A 17,547-nucleotide genomic window follows, 5' to 3' on the forward strand; every position below is an offset into this window, starting at 1 on the left:
GGATTTGAACTCCAGCTCCTCCACTGTTGGCTTTGTGACTTTGGGCAAGTCACCTCCCCTCTTGGAGCCTCAGGTTTCTCATCTGTGAATAAAATGGGGATCGAAGTCCTTTCCCTCTGGGTTGTGCAGGTGGCAGGTGCTCCTGCTCCACAAAGCCCTGGTTCCTTCACCTGCTAAGCTCTGAGGTTGCACTGGGATGGAGGGTGGAATGATTGGGGAGAAAATGCTAAACGAGAGGTGATCCTGTCCCCATTGTAATGGGTGCAAATGAAGGGCCAACTTTATTAAAATGGAAAATCCAGGATTTGTAGTTCTCACATTTTAATGGGCCTAAGCCTCATCTGAAGGTGCCTGCTAAAAGGCAGATTTCTGGGTGCTGGTTCCAGAGGTTCTGTGTGGGGCCAGAGAATCCGCATTTTAAATAGCACCCTCAGGCATTCCACGGCATGCAGTTTCCAGCAATCCCTCTGAGAGCCCAGCTCTAGATTGCAATAGGGGACCACCACTCATAATTGGGAATTTTTTCCTTAAATATCCAGATTTCTAGTTCTTTCAGAGAATCTGAAGTGTTGGCAATCCTGGGCCTGCTTTCCTGCTTGACAGCAAAGAACAAGAGCTGAGTTGTACCTACTCCCTTTAGATGAGGCTGCTGTCTCCAGGAGCCTATTTATTTAAAGTCCTGGCCTAAACTCTAGTGTTGTTTGAGTTTGTGACCCCTGGCAGGTCAAGTCCTCTAACACCACAGATTAGGAAACTAAAATCTGGAGGCGAAGTGGCTTAGGTGTGGAGAGCTAGCTGTGGATGGCCAGGTCAGAGGCGGCCTCTGAAGAGCTGCCCAAGCAGAAAGCTGCAGCTTGGTAAACAAGGGTGATCCCTGAGGCAGGGCTAGGGCTCTGCGTGGGCACAGGGTGGGAAGGAGAGGAGGAGGGAGGAAGTCTTCTGTAACCGGTCCTCAGGAGCAGGGGCAGTTGATGGCTATTTTTACCCTCACAGGGGATAAGCCTCCCTGAGGCTACAGAAGCAAAGCCCAGAGATGGGAGTCGGGGAGACAGAGCCTCCTCATGATGTCACGATGTCACCTGAGCTCCTGGGTCCAGCTTGTTTCATGAGCTGGTAAGTATCCGCCCACCTAGGGTTGCCAGAGAAAACAGGTTGCCCAGTTCAATTTGATTGTCCGATAATGATTTTTTTAATACAAGTATGCCCTGTGCAATATTTGAGACATACCTATATTAAAAAAGTTATTAGTTCTTTTTTTTTTTTTTTCGAGACAGGGTCTCACTCTGTTGCCCAGGCTGGAGTGCAGTGGCACAATCTTGGCTCATTGCATCTTCCGCCTCCCAGGTTCAAGCAATTCTTCTGCCTTGGTCTCCTGAGTAGCTGGATTATAGGAACATGCTACCACGCCCGGCCAAATTTTATTTTTTGGTATTTTTAATAAAGATGGGGTTTTACTATGTTGGCCCAGCTGGTCTCGAACTCCTGACCTCAAGTGATCTTCCTGCCTCGTCCTCCCCGCCAAAGTGCTGGGGTTACAGGTGTCAGCCACAATGCTTGGCCAAAAAATTGTTAGTTCTTTATCCAAAATTCAAACTGGGCTGGCATTCTGTATTTTTATTTGCTAAATCTCACAACCCTCACCTTATCCTTCCTTTGGGCTTAAGCCAGCCTGGTTTGGTTTCCGAGTCTTTCAACCAAAGGGATCTCGGTAGAAGCAGGCAGTTGTGCAACTGGGGCCCAGGCACGTGACTCAACTTGCCCAGGGTCACAAGGCCAGCAACTTATATTGGTGGATTAGAACTCAGGTCTGCGACTTGGTAACCAGTGCTTCCTCTGCGACCTGACCTCTAAGGTGAGAGGCAGGGACATGGCAGAGAGGAGGAGATGGGTCTGAAGCTGATGCAACAGAATTGGGTTTGAACAGAATGTGGAGCGGGGAGGAGAGAAGGGGACTGGGGCTCACAGCTTTGTTGACTGAGAGGTGACATTACTTTTAATATTACTTATTAATTCACTCATGGCATATTTATCAAGCACCTACAAGGTGCAAGGCATGTGCTTATTTCTCTGATATCTGAAACGGGCTGATAGTATCAGTGTTTACCCTTTCCATTTTATAGACTGGGAGAGTGAAGCTCAGAGAAGCCACAGGTCTGGGGGCCTCTGGGGCTGGGGTTACATCCTAGGCCTCCTACCCAGAGCCCCCCACCACTCCCTGCCAGCCCACATGGAGGCCAGTCTGCTCCACGCCTCGCTGCATATTCAAATCCAACCCCCTACCCCCATCTGAGAAAAGCAATGCAAATTGGAATCACCAGTGAGCATTCAGTCTGTGTCCACCTTTGGCAACTTTGTCTGTCCTAACACATGTGATGTTTAATCCTGTGACCCTGTGCCCTGCATCCTGGCCACAGCTCTCCTGGCAGGACCCCAGCCACATCTTTCTACCTTGTGGGATAAAGGATGCTCAGGGTAGGGGGTGCAGGTAACAGGAGCTCAGGGCTTCAGCAGAGCCGGAAGTTGGATCCAGGCCTCTGGTGCCATGGTGACGGTTGCTATAGAAATGCACCAGCTGCACTCAGCACGCCTACCAGGATCTGTGGGGGTTTTTCATAGACTGGAGCCAACAGAGAAGGGGAACTCTGTAGTGGTGAGAGCCCTGGAGTGAGAGCCAAGCTTCATCTTGGGGCTGCCCTTCCCTGTGTCTCCATCTCCATCCCCTGCCATCCCCCTCCTGTCCCCCTCCTTAGTCTGTGCAGTCTCCAGCAATGGTAGCTTGGCTGCTGTGCTCTCAGCCTGCAATGCCCTTTCTGGCTTCTTCACTTGGCTAGTTCCCAGGTACCCTCCAAGCCTCATCTTAATGCTGTATTTCCTCCAGCAAATACCAAGTGTCTACTAAGCACAGGACACCATTCTGGCCACCAGGGACACAGCAGTGGCCAAGAATGACAAGGTCCCTGCTCTCATGGGGCTGCCAGTCTAGGTGGGAGTGACACAGGCATCAAGGGAGCGCCCAAGTAAATGAATGAGAACACATTCAGGTGATGCCGGGGAGAAACAAAGGAGGGCAATAGACAGGCAGTAATGGGGTTGTGGAGACTCGGTGGTCAGGGAAGCTGGGTCCAAGGAGTGGCATTGTCCTCCCTGAGCCCTCCAGCCCTCCTCCCCTCCATTTTCTGGTTCCACTGCATGGATTTTGTCCTTGAATCACAGCACTGATGACCCTAAAATGTCACTGCTTGTCTCCCAAACTTGTCTTCCAAACAGCTGCTTCCTCTTTGAAGGCAGGAGTGCAGCCTGATTTATCTCTGTGTCCCCTATGTCTGGCAATAACAGGGACTTGGTAAGGCACACATTCATAGAGTGCGTTCCATGGGCCAGGCAATGTCACAGACAGCTCTCATTTCCCCTGTATGTTGATTCCAAGACATAACTATGATTTGATCATCACTTTAGAGATTGAGGAAGCAAAGCTCATCTAGGGTTAGTGACCTGCTCCAGGTCCCGCAGCCAGTGCGTGGGAGGTTTGAGATTCAAACCCTACTCTACACTCTCTGTGCCCCTTGTATGTAATGCGGTCACAGCTTTATTAAGATATCATTCACATACCATACAATTCACCCTTTTAAGGTGTACATGCAAATGCTTTTCAGTCTATTCACAGAGTTGTGCAAACATCAGAACCATCCATTTTAGAACACTTGCATCAGAAAAAACAGGCTCATTTCTCTAGCGTGGGGGCCCACCGACCTCGGCTTTGTAGGAGGACTCGAAGTTCAGAAGTTGGCTGCAGTTGTAAATTTAGAGCTGAAGATTTCTGTGTGGGTTGCCTGACTTTTTCTTGACATATCAATAACTAGCTTTTTGCTTATTGGCACTTTAAATGTGTATGCTCGGCATCTCTGAATTAAAACCCCAATTCTCCACGGAAAATCTCTAAACAACCTACAGGCAAATAATTCAAATTCCAGGAGAGCCTTTGGAGGGCTTTCCTAGCTGGAACACGGGGTGTGCTGACCATGTGGCCACTCAGAATGTCTGGAATTCCCCAGACCCTGTGTTTGTAAAGCTCAAGGCTTTCTGGAAGCCTGACTCTGTGGCATGTGCTGACACAGAAGGGGCTGTCGCTGGGGGCCCTGGGGGCTCTCTGCACCCAGGACTATGGTGCCCTGCCCTTCGTGAAGGGCCCTTGTCCAGTTTCCTCATATGTCTGGCTCATACTTGAGACAATCACTTAGCTCCAGGACCTGTGGGTGGAGTTGACGATCAATTTGCCCTTTTCTCAGTTCGAGGGTGGCGGGGGGCGCTCCATTGTCCCTAATTTTCACATCTTCCCCCTCCTTCAACTAACCACAAGTGCTTGAATTTCACCTCTGAAGAGGTATTATTGAAGTGATGAAGGGTAACTGGTATAACTTTTTCTCCAGCTTGGTGCCCAAAAGAGGTCACTTGTGTTTTTAACCTGTGCCTTGAAGCCCCATTGCCTAATTGAGCAGCATGGTCAGCATCTCTCTTCTGGCCTCAGCCCTTCCTCCCTTAACATTATGCAAGAACCATCATTCTCCAGGGCTCAGGCTGCAGCCAGAGAGAGGTGACGTGAGCTCTGGAGGGCCCCATCCTCTCAGATCCTTTTGCTCGTGACCCGCTTTGCCTTCTCTATCCTCAGCCAGGATCCTTACACACATGACAGGAGCCAAACCTGGCCAGGTGAAGCAGAAAAGTATTTCTTAAAGGCCTGTTTATCGAGTAGCTCCCGGAGTCTTTGGGCGGGCCAGAGACCCAGGCATGGAGTCACCCAGGCAGAACAAGTTCCCAAACCACACCTCAGAGCCAGTCCTGTGAGGACACAGCTGTTCCTCCACTGGGCAGAGACGCTACACCCTGCATCACCAATAATACCAGGGCTGCTACTAGTATTATTGGTTAATTCACCCACGAAATATTTATCAAGCAGTAGCTGTCGGGTGTTATTGGTGACGCAGGGGGTTGTGTCTCTGCCCAGTGGAGGAACAGCTCCTTGCCAGAATGGATTCCATGAAGACCCTGCTTCTCGCGTCACTAGTGCCCATGCTGATGTCCTGAGAGGGGCGTGTCTGATTGGAGAAGCCCTAGTCCACGTGCCAGCTCCTAGCCACGAAGGAGGCTGGGAAGTGAATGTCAGCTTTTGTAGTAGAAGTCTTTACCCACCATGCAGGCTTCTGTGGTAGAGGGTTCCCCCCAAAATGAGCAGCCCAAACACATGATCCATGACCACCACGGCTTCCGGGCAAATTTGCCCCCCTCCTCCTTGGTGACTTCTGACCTCTGTGTGTCAAAGAATTTGAAGAGGGACAGACAATGGCTCTCAAATAAATCCTATCTTCCCCCAGGGCAATGGGTGTCTCCTTGGCTGGCATTTCCATAGCTAAGATGAATCACAAGTGACGCTGCTCAAAGTGGAGATGTCTGCTCCACGATGACCATGCGGCCCACACAGACCCAGGTGGAAGAGGCTGTTCCCCAAAGGAAAAGGGAGGTGCTGTTTTTAAAAGAGGGAACTCTAGGCAGGAAAACAACGTATGTCCACCTCAGCTGGGGCATCCTATGGCCACGATATTACGAAACAAAAACAACACATTGAAGAAGACGCAGATGGGTCTTTTTTTTGAGACGGAGTCTCGCATTGTCGCCCAGGCTGGAGTAAAAATGGCACGATCTTGGCTCACTGCAACCTCCGCCTCCCAGGTTCAAGAGATTCTCTTGCCTCAGCCCCCCGAGTAGCTGGGATTACAGGCGCCTGCTACCATGTCTGGTATTTTTTGTATTTTCAGTAGAGATGGGGTTTCACTAAGTTGGCTAGACTGGTCTCGAACTCCTGACCTCATGATCCACCCGCCTCGGCCTCCCAAAGTGCTGGGATTACAGGCGTGAGCCACCACACCTGGCCGCAGAGGGGTCTTCTTTAGAAGGATGTGGAATGCAAATGGCCCAATGCCTGTCCTTGCACTCATATCCCCACCAGGCATTCCTTTTCCTCTCCTCTCTGGCTTGCAGGGGAGGCTTTTCCCCATTCCTTCCTATATGGTCCAGGGAAAGCTTTGATGCCCTCGTGAGTTCTTTACTCATTGAGAAATGCTGTGTTCTGGGGGTTAGAGAATGACCCTGGGCGCATCTGGGTTCTGCTCTGAACTCTGCCCCTTTTTCACAAGTTGGGCGCAACTTTCTTTTTCTTTCTAAGCCTCAATTTCCTCACCGATAGAATAATAAAAATAATAGCAATTCTGCCATAAGATTGTTGTAAAATTCAAATGAGATTATCCAAGTGAAGTAAATAACACTACAGGGTATGGAGTAATTCTTGATAAAAGGCAGTCATTTTAATAATACTGATGATAGTATAAACAATCACTATTTCCATGGTTTTTTCTAGCTTTAACAGATAGGACAAGTTATGCACTATTCCTGAGCCTGTTTCCTCTGCTGTAAAGTTATGCCTGCTTTCAGAGGGTGACTGTAAGAATGTTTATAAACCATGTGGAAGGAATCTAGCAGAGTATCTAGAACATAGTAGGTACACAGCACCCCCCACCCCCAACACTTTGCACCTCTGTATTTATTTCGCTGGGAAAAGCCACCTCGGAGTATTTATTCTGTGAGGAGAGTCACAACAAAACATCGATGGTGTCTTCAACCAGGAAAGACTTTCCAATCTAGATGATGTAGGGAAAAAAACCATTCTCCATGGATGTGGCACCTGGGCTCAGGAAGGGGCCATGAGAGATTGTGATCTTGTTCAAAAATGTCCATGGTCCTCGTTAGGGAAGATTCTACTTCTCTGTCCCATTAACTTCAGGCTTTGCCATGTGACTTGTTATGGCTAATGCAATGTGAGGGAAGTGAAGATTGATACTTCTAGGAAAAGCTTAAGGAATCATCTTGTGGCTTCCTATATTCTTTTCCCCTTCGCCACAAAATTAGCACCGTTCCAGATAAAGGCTGCCCCATCCTCCTGGGTCCCCAGATAAGGCAGATGTGGGGCAGAGCCACAGCCACCTCACAGTGGCCATGTAGCATGGGTGAGAAATTATCCATTATTGTCGTAAACTGCTGGGAATTTGGAGTTGTTTGTTATGGCAGCCTAGCCTAGCCTAACTAACCCAGGCCAGATACTCCAAATAATCTTTTCCCTCCCTACCACCTGTGGCCAGATTCTTTGCTTCTAGTCAGGAATAGGAGTATTATCTCATTCTGCCTTAGAGAAGGACAAGGCGGCTGTATGCAGTGAGGACACCGTCTCAGTGTGTGGAGTTGTGTTCAAAGTTGTGTATGAATGGTGACCCGCTCTCAGCTGGTTGTTGAAGTGCAGTGTAATGAACTACAAGTTGCCTACCCAGCTTCCTTTCTGCCTTTGTGCCTTGACAACATATCCCTGATTTTCTAAGTTCTCCACCCTAGCTTCACATGTGTCAGGGAGCTGACTCCATCCTAGGTGTAGGAGGTGATTCTGAGCAGTCTAAGCCAGTGTTACTCAAAGTGTGGTCCATTGAGCAGTGCTGTTCTGCAGCGAACTATTTATTTACTACTGCTGTGTAATAAGTATAGAAACGGAGAGTGTTTAGAAACTTTTATAGCTATTTGACTTTGCTATGGCATCCAAACATGTGAACAGTGGATTCCTCTGTTGAACAGGGTATAGGTGCTGTCAAAATTACCTGGTAAATTCCATATGATAAAACTGCATGCTTATCATGTGCAAAATAGGACCACATATGGACCCACGGATGGTCTAGGCCAATCAGGCTAATCCTCTTTCATGAACCAGTGACTGGTCTCAGTTTCAGCATGTGGCCCAAATCTGGGCAATGAGACATGAGAGGAGTCTGATGGGGCTACTGGAAAGGTTTCCATATCTCTGTTTTTTTTTTACATTAAAAAAATTAATTAATGTTTTTGTACATGAATAAGTTCTTTAGTGGTGATTTCTGAGATTTTGGTGCACCCATCACCCGAGCAGTGTACACTGTACCCAATGCATAGTCTTTTATCCGTTGCCCCCTCCCACCCTTTCCCCGGAGTCCCCAAAGTCCATTGTATGGTTCTTATGCCTTTGTATCTTCATAGCTTAGCTCCCACTAATGAGTGAGAACATATGATATTTGGTTTTCCATTCCTGAATTACTTCATTCCTGAGTTACTTCCATTCCTGGGTTACTTCACTTAGTTACTTCCATACCTGAGTTACTTACATTCCTGAGTTACTTCACTTAGAATAATGGTCTCACTCGGGAGGCTGAGGCAGGAGAATCGCTTGAACCTGGGAGGTGGAGGTTGCAGTTAGCCAAGGTAGAAACACTGTACTCCAGCCTGGGCAATAGAGCAAGACTCTGTCTCAAAAAAACAGAAAAAAAAGAAAGAATAATGGTCTCCAATTATTTCATTCCTTTTTATAGCTGAGTAGTATTTCATTTTTTATATATATATATAACATTTTCTTTATCCATTTGTTGACTCACGGGCATTTGGGCTTGTTCCATATTCTTACAATTACAAATTGTGCTGCCATAAACATGTGTGTGCAAGTATCTTTTTCATATAATGACTTGTTTTCCTCTGGGTAGATACCTAGTAGTGGGATTGTTGGATTAAACAGTGGATCTACTTTTAGTTCTTTAAGGAATCTCCACACTATTTTCCATAGTAGTTGTACTAGTTTACATTCCTACCAACGGTGTACAAGTGTTCCCCTTTCACCATGTCCAAGCCAACATGTATTATTTTTTGATTATGCCATTCTTGCAGGAGTAAGCTGGTACCTCATGGTGGTTTTGATTTGCATTTCCCTGATAATTAGTGATGTTGAGCATTTTTCCATATACTTGTTAGCCATTTGTAGATCTTCTTTTGAGAATTGTCTGTGTCCTTATTCCACTTTTTTGACAAGATTGCTTGTTTTTTTTTACTTGTTGATTTCTTTGAGTTCTTTATAGATTCTGGATATTAGTCCTTTGCTGGATGTATAAATGGAATGCTGGATTTTGTCAAATGCTTATTCTGCATCTATTGAGATGATCATGTGAATTTTGTTTTTAATTCTGTTTTTGTGGTGTGTCACATTTATTGACTTGTGTATGCTAAATCATCTCTGCATCCGTGGTATGAAATCCACTTGATCATGGTGGATTATCTTTTTGATATGCTGTTGGATTTAATTAGCTAGTATTTCGTGGATTTTTGCATCTGTGTTCATCAGGGATATTGGTCTGTAGTTTGTTTGTTTGTTTGTTATGTCCTTTCCTGTTTTTGGTGATACTGGCTTCATAGAATAACTTAGAAAGGGTTTCCTGTCTCTCTATCTTTTGGAATAGCGTCAATAGGATGGGTACCAATTCTTCTTTGAATGTCTGATATAATTCAGCTGTGAATCTGTCTGGTCCTGGATTTTTTTTTGTTGGTAACTTTTTAATTACCTTTTCAATTTTGCTCCTTGTTATTGGTCTGTTCAGAGTTTCTATGTCTTCCTGGTTTAATCTATGAGGGTGGTATATTTCCAGGAATTTATCCATCTCTTCTAGGTTTTCTAGTTTATGCAACTGAAGGTGTTCATAGTAGCCTTGGATGATCTTTTGTATTTCTGTGGTATCAGTTGTAATATCTCCCGTTTCATTTCTAATTGAGCTTATTTGGATCTTCTATCTTCTTTACTTGGTTAATCTCATGGTTTATCAATTTTATTTATCTTTTCAAAGAACACGCTTTTTGTTCCATTTATCTTTTGTATTTTTTGGTTTCAATTTTATTTAATTCTGCTCTGATCTTGATTATTTATTTTCTTCTGCTGGATTTGGGTTTGATTGTTTCTCTAGCTTCTTGGGTTGTGATTTTAGATTGCCTATTTATGCTCTTTTGGACTTTCTGATGTAGGCATTTAATGCTATGAACTTTCTTCTTAGCACTGCTTTTACTGTATCCCAGAGGTTTTGATAGGCTTACTATTATTTTTCAGTTCAAAGAATTTTTAAATATCCATCTTGATTTCATTGCTGACCCAATGATCATTCAGGAACAAGTTATTTAATTTCCATGTATTTGCATGGTTTTGAGGGTTCCTTTTTGAGTTGATTTTCAATTTTATTCCACTGTGGTCTGAGAGCACACTTGATATAATTTTGATTTTCTTAAATTTGTTGAGACTTGTTTTGTGGCCTGTCATATGGTCTGTCTTGGAGAATGTTCCATGTGCTGCTGAATAGAAGGTATATTCTGCAGTTGTTAGGTAGAATGTTCTGTAAATATCTGTTAAGTCCATTTGTTCTAGGGTATAGTTTATGTCCGTTGTTTCTTGGTTTACCTTCTGTCTTGATGCTCTGTCTAGTGCTGTCAGTGGAGTACTGAAGTCCCCCACTTTTATTGTGTTGCCATCTATATCATTTCTTAGGTCTAGTAGTAATTGTTTTATAAATTTGGGAGCTGCAGTGTTAGGTGAACATATATTTAGGATTGTGATATTTTCCTGTCGGACTAGTTCTTTTATCGTTATATAATGTCCCTCTTTGTCTTTTTTTAACTGTTACTATAAAGTTTGTTTTGTCTGATATAAGAATAGCTACTCCTGCTCACTTTTGGTATCCATTTGCATGGGATATCTTTTCTCACCCATTTGCCTTAAGTTTATATGAGTCCTTATGTGTCAGGTGAGTCTCTTGAAGACAGCAGATACTTGGTTGATGAATTCTTACCCATTCTGCTATTCTGTATCTTTAAAGTGAAGCATCTAGGCCATTTACATTCAATGTTAGTATTGACATGTGAGGTACTATTCTATTCATTGTGGTATTTGTTACCTAAATGCCTTGTGTTTTTTTTTTTCATTGTGTGTGTGTGTGTGTGTGTGTGTTTTAATAGATCCTGTGAGATTTATGCCTTAAGAACATTCTATTTTTGTGTATTTCGAGGATTCGTTTCAAGATTTAGAGCTCCTTTTAGCATTTCTTATAGTGTTGGCTTGGTAGTGGCAAATTCTCTCAGCATTTGTTTGTCTGAAAGATTATCTTTCCTTCATTTATGAAGCCTAGTTTTGCTGGATACAAAATTCTTGGCTGATAATTGTTTTGTTTAAGGAGGGCAAACATAGGACTGGATACAAAATTCTTGGCTGATAATTGTTTTGTTTAAGGAGGGTAAATACAGAACCCCAATCCCATTCTAGCTTGCAGGGTTTCTGCTGTGAAATCTGCTGTTAATCTGATAGGTTTTCCTTTATAGGTTACCTGATGCTTTCACCTCACAGCTCTTAAGATTCTTTTGTTTGTCTTGACTTTAGATAATCTGATGACTATGTGCCAAGGTAATGATCTTTTTATGACAAATTTCCCAGGTGTTCTTTGATCTTCTTGTATTTGGATGTCTAGATCTCTAGCAGAGCTGGGAAAGTTTTCCTTGACTATTCCCTCTAATATGTTTTCTAAACTTTTAGATTTCTCTTCTTCCTTGGGAACACCAATTATTCTTAGGTTTGGTCTTTTAAACATAATCCCAAACTTCCTGGAGGCTTTGTTAATTTTTTAAAATTTATTTTTCTTTGTTGGATTGGGTCAATTTGAAAGGCTTGTCTTCGAGCTCTGAAGTTCTTTCTTCTACTTGTTCAATCTATTGCTGAGACTCTCCAGTGCATTTCTCATTTCTCTAAGTGTATCCTTTATTTCCAGAGGTTGTGAATTTTTAAAATTTATGCTATCTATTTCACTGGAGATGTTTCCATTCATATCCTGTATCTTTTTTTATTATTATTTCTTTAAGTTGGACTTCAGCTTTTTCTGGTGCTTCCTTGAGTAGCTTAATAGTAGACCTCCTGAATTGTTTTTCTGGCAAATCAGAGATTTTTGTCTTGGTTTGGATCCATTGCTGGTGAGCTAATGTGATCTTTTGGGAGTGCTAAAGAACCTTGTTTTGTCATATTACCAGAATTGTTTTTCTGGTTCCTCCTCATTTGGGTAGATTATGTCAAAGGAAAGATCTGGGACTCAAGGGCTGCTGTTCAGATTCTTTTGTCCCATGGGGTGCTCCCTTGATTTGGTGCTCTCCCCTTCTCCCAAGGATAGGGCTCCCTGAGAGCTGAAATGCAATGAGGGTTATTTCTTTTCTGGATCTAGCCAACCAGCAGGGCCACCAGGCTCTGGGCTGGTACTGGAGGTGTTTGCACAGAGTCCTGTGATGTGAACCGTCTTCAGGTCTCTCAGCTGTGGATAGCAGAACCTGCTCCAGTGGAGGTAGCAGGGGAGTGAAGTCGACTCTGAGGGCCCTGGGTTGTATTTTTGTTTAGTGCACTGGTTTTGAGTTGGTTGGCCTCTGGCCAGGAGGTGACATTTTCAAGAGCTCATCAGCTACAGTAGTAGAGGAAAGATACAAGACTGCCCTACGGTCAGGTAGTGGGCGGGGCCATAGAGCTCCCAGGAGATTATGTCCTTTGTCTTTAGCTATCAGGGCAGGTAGAGAAAGACCACCAAGTGAGGGAAGGGTTAGGCATGTCTGAGCTCAGCCTCTCATTGGGCCAGGCTTGCTGCAGCTGCTGTGGGGGATGGGGGTGTGATTCCCAGGCCAGTGGATTTATGTTCCCAGGGGACTATGTCTGCCTCTGCTGTGTCACACAGGTTACCAGGGAATTGGGGGAAAGCTGGCAGCCACAGGCTTCACCCAGCTCCCATGCAGCCCACAGCCTGAAAGGCCACTCTCACCATGCACCCCCAACAGCACAGGATTTATTTACAGGCAGCGGGTGAGCAGGGCTGAGAACTTGCCCCAGGCTACAAGCCTCCCAGCCGAGAAAACAAGCAGACTCACAGTTCCTTGGCAGTTCCACGCAGCCCGCGGTGGCAATCCACCTCCTTTAAAGGGTCTGTGGATTCTCATTCTCTTGGCTTTCCTGGTATGTTCCCTTGGTAGTTCTTAGAGCGAAAGTTCACGTGAGTTTCCACCTGCTACTCTGTCCATCCGAATGGGAGCTGCAAGTTAGTCTTGCCTCCTATCCACCATTTTTATATGAGTCTCCACCAGGTTTCCATATTTCTAAGAAAATAACACGGAAAGAAAGTACTTCTCATCTTCTCTGGGGCACTTTGAATCTGGGTGAGTTGCTGGGAACTGCAGCTCTCCTGCCTCCGGACATCAGGCTATGTGAGAAAATGTATTTCCTCATTGCTTAAAAAGCAGGTGAGAGTCTGGCTCTGTTGTCATTTGCTGTGCCCTGACTAATGCACTTGCTGCGAGCTCTTCCGGAGATTGAATTGACTACCTCCTGGATCTCTCCCTAGTCAACTGCCATCAGAGTGAGGTTTTCTTTCCCCTTTCATCTAAGAAACATTTATTGATCGCCTATTATGAACAAGGCACTTTGAAGATGCCCAGTTATGTAAGGTACCATTTTGTACCCTCAAGTACCTTATAATCAAATAACAAAATATAAAAATATATGCAAATAAAGCCAGTTAGAAAGTGCTAAATATTATAGAAAATATACCAACTAATGAATATGCAGATATAGGGCAGAGGGAAATTATTTTTGGTGGATTATAACAATATGTCATTGGCATAAAAATCACAAGATACTATGGCATATATCTGAGAGTGTAGTTTTTTTTCCTCTGCTCTTTATTATAAAAACTACTAAAGAAAGAAAATTCAAGCTCAGAACTGCCTACTATCCCATCATCTTTCATTGATTTTACTTTCTATTTGTTTTTACTTAAAGCCATGTACATTTTGCATTTTGCTACAGTGCTTTTGCCCCATGTCTCCTTTCCCTCTTTATTCCCACTCTTAGCCCTGAGGTAGCCATGACAAGTCTGGCATGTATCCTTCTAGATCATTCTCCGTGTTGTCATACTAACATGAACAGACATGTTGGTTTTGTTTTTCTACAGTTGGATCCTACCAAGTGAATTTCTCTGTAGCTAATTTTCTTTCTTAACAACAGGGTAAAAGCTCTCTTTACCAACCTCTATTACAGAGAGTGGCTGGATTCCCCAGTGCTCTCCATTCCTCTGATGCTCCTGGACACCCATGGTGCTAACAAGCTTTGGCTGCTTTCTGGTATGTTTGCATCCTTCTGCTCCCACCAGGTGACTTCTGGGCTCATCAGAGTCAGGTTGTATTGGTCCTTAAGCCTGTTTATACCACTGGGATTATAACTGTAATTCTATACTTTCATCAAATACTTTATAAATCAGTGCAATTAGAGCAGAAAACGAAGACCATCACGTTTCTATGAAAATCAAGTTAAATGCCCCGGAAATATTTGCTCAATGTTGCTTTCTAAAAACATTTGCTACCCAGTTGACAATAAAGATCTGGGGTATATCAGTTACCTTTTGCTGTATAACAAACCACCCCAAAACATAGTGGCTTGGAACAATAATGGTCTATTATTTCTCATAATTTCATGGGCTGCTGGTTTTGCCTGGACTCTCTCACAAGGCTGCATTCAGCTGGAGCTGACTGGGCTGGAAAGTCCGAGATGACCTTCTCCATCTGTCTGGCAGTTGATGCTGGCCATCCACTGACCCCTCACATTGCCTTTTATCCTGAACTAGCTGGGCTTCCTCACATGGTGGCCTCAGGGCAGCAGTCCAACAGGGCCCAAACCAGAAAAGAGCAAGTTCTCTTAAGCTCTAGCCTGACCTCATTTTCTGTTGGCCAAAGCAAGTCACAAGGTCATCCTCACTTTGAGGGATGGGAAATAAGCTTCACCTCTTGATAGGAGGAGCAGCAACACCACATCACAAAAGCTTATGCCTACTGGCATGGGAGGAAGCTCTGGCAATATTTCACAATTTAACACAAGAGGGGATATCATAAAAATCTAGTGGTGTTCTATATGCAGATTGCTTTACCACTGCCTTTAAATTCTCACCCCACTTTAAAGAAAACAGAACAGAAAATTGTAGATTACATATTATAGAAATGGTTTGTGCAAGAAAGGTAACATGGAATACCAATTAGCAGCAAATGTCCAGTAAAAAGACTTGGGCCTTACATCCAAAGAATGGCAAACAACTCAGAGGTTTTTAAGCTTTAAAGCAATGTGTCTTTTTTATGACTTTTAATTGACTCTTATCCCCATTATGTTGAAGAAGAGAGCTTCCGTGATGTACCAGACTTATTCTTATAGACCAGTGGCTAGAGAGACTACTCTCTCTGCCTTTTTAATAGCTCCATGGAATTCCAAGATATGAATATGCCACATTTTATTTAACCAATCCCTTGTCAGCAGATCTTCAGGTGGTTTCTTTTTTATCTTCCCACAATGATCAATGCTACAATAAATATCAGCTTAAGTATAATATAAGCTTTTGATACTAGTGCTTTTTGCTTTTGTTTTTAATATCTACAGGCTTGAGCTCCAAAGGCAAGATTTCTGGGCCGGGTATGGTGGCTCATGACTGTAATCCTAGCATTTTGGGAGGCCGAGGCTGGCAGATCACTTGAGGTCAGGAGTTCAAGACCATCCTGGCCAACATAGTGAAACCCTGTCTCTACTAAAAAATACAAAAAATTAGCCAGGCCTGGTGGCGGGTGCCTGTAATCCCAGCTACTCGGGAGGCTGAGGCAGGAGAATCACTTGAACCCGGGACGCAGAGGTTGTAGTGGGCTGAGATCACACCACTGCACTCCAGCTTGGGCAATAGAGTGAGACTCTTTCTCAAAAAACAAACAAACAAGCAAACCAAGGTGGAATTTCTGGGTTAAATGTCATGTGTATTTTAAAAGTGAATAGATATTGCCAAATCACTTCCCAAAATGCTCCATAGTAAATTCCCACCCCTGGTAGCAATGTATGAGAGTATCCTTTTCTATTCTTTCCAGCCCTTATATTTGTCTTCTGTGACACTTACTCTGCATCTTCCAATAACAGCATCTCTGCATCTCTACACTTTTGTATATGTCGTAAACCCTTCATCCCACCTAGGTGTCATTTTTCTTCTCCCCTGTCTGGACAGCTTCTACTTGACTTTCAGAACTCAACAAAAATGCCCCCTACTTTGGGAAGCTTCCCTAACATCCAGAGGGCAAGCTTGCTTTCAATTCCACTGCCTCTGTTCTCTTTATGGTTCTCTCTGCCAGCCCCATCGCGGGCACTAATAGAATTTGGGTGTCTTGAAGTCTCCCCTGCAAGACTCTTAAGCTGGTAGAGGACAAGGGACATCCTACAATCTTCTTGGAGTTCCCTGTGCCAGGAAATGTTCATTTATTAAGTGACATTACGATGAAGCTTTTCCATGAATATCTGTTGAATAAGGGAAGGAATTTTTTTTTTTTTTCAGAGACTAATGATTGTAACTGTTCGGGCACGGTGAGGCAAGAGGAACGTACAGTTACAGAATCCGTGGGCAAAGCATCTCGGGGCCAGGAGCGAGCCTGAAGGCACTGTGTAGGCCTTGATCAGTTTAGCAATTTCTACGATTCTGACATCCTCTTTCTGTTCTTTCCGGACTCAGGCATCCAAGGTCACCTCATTATGGCTCTGTGCGAAGACAGCACCCCAAAGGGGCCATCGATTTGGAACATCTGATCGGCTTTCTGAGTCAGATCCACTAGCTCGTAAAATCCAATAAATGTCAAAGATATGTCAGGCCCATTAACCTCTGGAGGTCTATTAAAAGACTCTGCTTCTGCTAAGGAGATTCTGTTACTGTCACATGGACACCAGGGCAGCCAATTCTAAACCCCTGAATTTAGAAAGTTAGGAAGGGGATATGATTTCACATGGGATCGCCTGGTCTCTACTAGTTTTGTCATAAGACTCTGCCTTTTCTTCCACTCATACACACAGAGCATCTGTTGGTGTGACCAGCTCTGTGATAGGTATGTGGGGGAAACATTCTAGAACTTCTTTTCCTGCATCCAAGAAAATTAACCCAAATGCTTTCTTCATAAAACTGCACGCACATTTCTTCCTTACAGTCCTTACAACATTGAAGCATTATTGTTTGCTTGCACGTGAGTCCCCTCTACTAGATTATGAGTTCCTTAAGAGCTGGGGGTCATGATTCCTTTTGGTAAGAAGCAAGGGAAACCTTAACCTAAATTACTCCAGGAAAAAACAAACCTGCTTGACACATAGAACCAAAAAGTCCAAAGGCAAAGTCCAGGAACAGTTGGATTCAGAGGCCCCAAAGGTGTTCTCAGGAGTCTCACCTCCATCTTGTGGCTCTGCATTCCTCTGCGTTGGTTTCATCTGCAGGCAAGCCCTCCCCAGCCATGGCAAGATGGGCTCTGGTAGATCCCACATGATGGCAAGCCTGCCTTCAGCAGCTCCAGGCATCCTGCTGCCAGCCTAACACCCCTGTGAGAAAGAACTTTTATTTCCCAATAGGGCCAGTGGATCTCCCAAGCTAATTCTTGCTGGCCCAGCGTGGGTCCAGGTGCTAGTTCCAGGGCATTCCTTTTGCAAAACAATTACCATGTTGTGTTGTAATTCCTGCTTTACTTGCCAGTTTCCCACCCAGAACTGTGAGTTCCATGATGGTTAAAACCAATTCCATCTTCCTAGAGCCTAGTGTAAGACCTGGCATG

The 17,547-nt window shown here is 44.3% G+C and overlaps 1 long non-coding RNA gene across 2 annotated transcripts; it reads left to right on the forward strand.

Annotated features, from left to right (window-relative positions):
• Positions 1-825: 825 nt before the first annotated feature.
• Positions 826-16,650, forward strand: LINC01863 (long intergenic non-protein coding RNA 1863). Of its 2 annotated transcripts, XR_001743002.2 has the most exons (3): positions 826-857; positions 994-1,113; positions 16,296-16,650. It is a non-coding gene; the product is annotated as a long intergenic non-protein coding RNA 1863 (long non-coding RNA). The 2 variants fall into 2 exon arrangements; XR_007059058.1 differs by lacking the exon at positions 826-857 and having other exon boundaries at positions 935-1,113.
• Positions 16,651-17,547: the final 897 nt, after the last annotated feature.

Source organism: Homo sapiens, chromosome 5 (genome assembly GCF_000001405.40).
Source record: "Homo sapiens chromosome 5, GRCh38.p14 Primary Assembly".
NCBI classification, from domain to species: Eukaryota; Metazoa; Chordata; class Mammalia; order Primates; family Hominidae; genus Homo; species Homo sapiens.